Here is a 4,728-nt window from a genome sequence, read left to right on the forward strand (position 1 = left end):
CACCCATTAACTCGTCATTTAGCATTAGGTATATCTCCTAATGCTATCCCTCCCCACTCCCCCCACCCCACAACAGTCCCCGGTGTATGATGTTCCCCTTCCTGTGTCCATGTGTTCTTCTTGTTCAATTCCCACCTATGAGTGAGAACATGTCGTGTTTGGTTTTTTGTCCTTGCGATAGTTTGCTGAGAATGATGACTTCCAGCTTCAACTATGTCCCCACAAAGGACATGAACTCATCATTTTTTATGGCTGCATAGTATTCCATGGTGTATATGTGCCACATTTTCTTAATCCAGTCTATCACTGTTGGACATTTGGGTTGGTTCCAAGTCTTTGCTATTGTGAATAGTGCCACAATAAACATACGTATGCATGTGTCTTTATAGCAGCATGATTTATAATCCTTTGGGTATATACCCAGTAATGGGATGGCTGGTTCAAATGGTATTTCTAGTTCTAGATCCCTGAGGAATTGCCACACCGAATTCCACAATGGTTGAACTAGTTTACAGTCACACCAACAGTGTAAAAGTGTTCCTATTTCTCCACAGCCTCTCCAGCACCTGTTGTTTCCTGACTTTTTAATGATCGCCATTCTAACTGGTGTGAGATGGTATCTCATTGTGGTTTTGATTTGCATTTCTCTGATGGTCAGTGATGATGACCATTTTTTCATGTGTCTTTTGGCTGCATAAATGTCTTCTTTTGAGAAGTGTCTGTTCATATCCTTTGGCCACTTTTTGATGGGATTGTTTGTTTTTTTCTTGTAAATTTGTTTGAGTTCATTGTAGATTCTGGATATTAGCCCTTTGTCAGATGAATAGGTTGCAAAAATTTTCTCCCATTCTGTAGGTTGCCTGTTCATTCTGATGGTAGTTTCTTTTGCTGTGCAGAAGCTCTTTAGTTTAATTAGATCCCATTTGTCAATTTTGGCCTTTGTTGCCATTGCTTTTGGTGTTTTAGACATGAAGTCCTTGCCCATGCCAATACCTGAATGGTATTGCCTAGGTTTTCTTCTAGGGTTTTTATGGTTTTAGGTCTAACATTTAAGTCTTTAGTCCATCTTGAATTAATTTTTGTATAAGGTGTAAGGAAGGGATCCAGTTTCAGCTTTCTACATATGGCTAGCCAGTTTTCCCAGCACCATTTATTAAATAGGGAATCCTTTCCCCATTGCTTGTTTTTGTCAGGTTTGTCAAAGATCAGATAGTTGTAGATATGTGGCATTATTTCTGAGGGCTCTGTTCTGTTCCATTGATCTATATCTCTGTTTTTGTACCAGTACCATGCTGTTTTTGTTACTGTAGCCTTGTAGCATAGTTTGAAGTCAGGTAGTGTGATGCCTCCAGCTTTGTTCTTTTGGCTTAGGATTGTCTTGGCGATGCGGGCTCTTTTTTGGTTCCATATGAAATTTAAAGTAGTTTTTTCCAATTCTGTGAAGAAAGTCATTGGTAGCTTGATGGGGATGGCATTGAATCTATAAATTACTTTGGGCAGTATGGCCATTTTCATGATATTGATTCTTCCTACCCATGAGCATGGAATGTTCTTCCATTTGTTTGTATCCTCTTTTATTTCAGTGAGCAGTGGTTTGTAGTTTTCCTCGAAGAGGTCCTTCACATCCCTTGTAAGTTGGATTCCTAGGTATTTTATTCTCTTTGAAGCAATTGTGAATGGGAGTTCACTCATGATTTGGCTCTCTGTTTGTCTGTTATTGGTGTGTAAGGATGCTTGTGATTTTTGCACATTGATTTTGTATCCTGAGACTTTGCTGAAGTTGCTTATCAGCTTAAGGAGATTTTGGGCTGAGACAATGGGGTTTTCTAGATATACAATCATGTCATCTGCAAACAGGGACAATTTGACTTCCTCTTTTCCAAATTGAATGCCCTTTATTCCCTTCTCCTGCCCGGTTGCCCTGGCCAGAACTTCCAACACTATGTTGAATAGGAGTGGTGAGAGAGGGCATCCCTGTCTTGTGCCAGTTTTCAAAGGGAATGCTTCCAGTTTTTGTCCATTCAGTATGATATTGGCTGTGGGTTTGTCATAGATAGCTCTTATTATTTTGAGATACATCCCATCAATACCTAATTTATTGAGAGTTTTTAGCATGAAGGTTGTTGAATTTTGTCAAAGGCCTTTTCTGCATCTATTGAGATAATCATGTGATTTTTGTCTTTGGTTCTGTTTATATGCTGGAATACATTTATTGATTTTTTGTATGTTGAACCAGCCTTGCATCCCAGGGATGAAGCCCACCACTTGATCATGGTGGATAAGCTTTTTGATGTGCTGCTGGATTCGGTTTGCCAGTATTTTATTGAGGATTTTTGCATCAATGTTCATCAAGGATATTGCTCTACAATTCTCTTTTTTTGTGTGTGTCTCTGCCAGGCTTTGGTATCAGGATGATGCTGGCCTCATAAAATGAGTTAGGGAGGATTCCCTCTTTTTCTATTGATTGGAATAGTTTCAGAAGGAATGGTACCAGCTCCTCCTTGTACCTCTGGTAGAATTCAGCTGTGAATCCATCTGGTCCTGGACTTTTTTTAATTGGTAAGCTATTAATTATTGCCTCAATTTCAGAGCCTGTTATTGGTCTATTCAGAGATTCAAGTTCTTCCTGGTTTAGTCTTGGGAGAGTGTATGTGTCGAGGAATTTATCCATTTCTTCTAGATTTTCTAGTTTATTTGCATAGAGATGTTTATAGTATTCTCTGATGGTAGTTTGTATTTCTGTGGAATCAGTGGTGATATCTCCTTTGCATTTTTTATTGTGTCTATTTGATTCTTCTCTCTTTTCTTCTTTATTAGTCTTGCTAGTGGTCTATCAATTTTGTTGATCTTTTCAAAAAACCAGCTCCCGGATTCATTAATTTTTGAACGGTTTTTTGTGTCTCTATTTCCTTCAGTTCTGCTCTGATTTTAGTTATTTCTTGCCTTCTGCTAACTTTTGAATGTGTTTGCTCTTGCTTCTCTAGTTCTTTTAATTGTGATGTTAGGGTGTCAATTTTAGATCTTTCCCACTTTCTCTAGTGGGCATTTAGTGCTATAAATTTCCCTCTACACACTGCTTTGAATGTGTCCCAGAGATTCTGGTATGTTGTGTCTTTGTTCTCATTGGTTTCAAAGAACATCTTTATTTCTGCCTTCATTTCATTATATACCCAGTAGTCATTCAGGAGCGGGTTCAGTTTCCATGTAGTTGAGTCGTTTTGAGTGAGTTTCTTAATCCTAAGTTCTAGTTTGATTGCACTGTGTTCTGAGAGACAGTTTGTTATAATTTCTGTTCTTTTGCATTTGCTGAGGAGTGTTTTACTTCCAAGTATGTGGTCAGTTTTGGAATAGGTGTGGTGTGGTGCTGAAAAGAATGTATATTCTGTTGATTTGGGGTGAGGAGTTCTGTAGATGTCTATTAGGTCCACTTGGTGCAGAGCTGAGTTCAATTCCTGGGTATCCTTGTTAACTTTCTGTCTTGTTGATCTGTCTAATGTTGACAGTGGGGTGTTAACGTCTCCCATTATTATTGTGTGGGAGTCTAAGTCTCTTTGTAGGTCACTAAGGACTTGCTTTATGAATCTGGGTGCTCCTGTATTGGGTGCATATATATTTAGGATAGTTAGCTCCTCTTGTTGAATTGATCCCTTTACCATTATGTAATGGCCTTCCTTGTCTCTTTTGATCTTTGTTGGTTTAAAGTCTGTTTTATCCGAGACTAGGATTGCAACCCCTGCCTTTTTTTGTTTTCCATTTGCTTGGTAGGTCTTCCTCCATCCCTTTATTCTGAGCCTATGTGTGTCTCTGCACATGAGATGGGTTTCCTGAATACAGCACACTGATGGGTCTTGACTCTTTATCCAATTTGCCAGTCTGTGCCTTTTAATTGGAGCATTTAGCCCATTTACATTTAAGGTTAGTATTGTTATGTGTGAATCTGATCCTGTCATTATGATGTTAGCTGGTTATTTTGCTTATTAGTTGATGCAGTTTCTTCCTAGCCTTGATGTTCTTTACAATTTGGCGTGTTTTTGCAGTGGCTGGTACCGGTTGTTCCTTTCCATGTTTAGTGTTTCCTTCAGGAGCTCTTTTAGGGCAGGTCTGGTGGTGACAAAATCTCTCAGCATTTGCTTGTCTGTAAAGTATTTTATTTCTCCTTCACTTGTGAAGCTTAGTTTGGCTGGATATGAAATTCTGGGTTGAAAATTATTTTCTTTAAGAATATTGAATATTGGCCCCCACTCTCTTCTGGCTTGTAGAGTTTCTGCCAAGAGATCAGCTGTTAGTCTGATGGACTTCCCTTTGTGGGTAACCCGACCTTTCTCTCTGGCTGCCCTTAACATTTTTTCCTTCATTTCAACTTTGGTGAATCTGACAATTATGTGTCTTGGAGTTGCTCTTCTCAAGGAGTTTCTTTGTGGCATTCTCTGTATTTCCTGTATTTGAATGTTGACCCGCCTTGCTAGATTGGGGAAGTTCTCCTGGTTAATATCCTGCAGAGCGTTTTCCAACTTGGTTCCATTCTCCCCGTCACTTTCAGGTACACCAATTTGATGTAGATTTGGTCTTTTCATATAGTCCCATATTTCTTGGAGGCTTTGTTCATTTCTTTTTATTCTTTTTTCTCTAAACTTCTCTTCTCACTTCATTTCATTCATTTCATCTTCCGTGACTGATACCCTTTCTTCCAGTTGATCGCATCAGTTACTGAGGCTTGTGCATTCGTCA

Source organism: Homo sapiens, chromosome 4 (assembly GCF_000001405.40).
Source record: "Homo sapiens chromosome 4, GRCh38.p14 Primary Assembly".
NCBI lineage: Eukaryota > Metazoa > Chordata > Mammalia > Primates > Hominidae > Homo > Homo sapiens.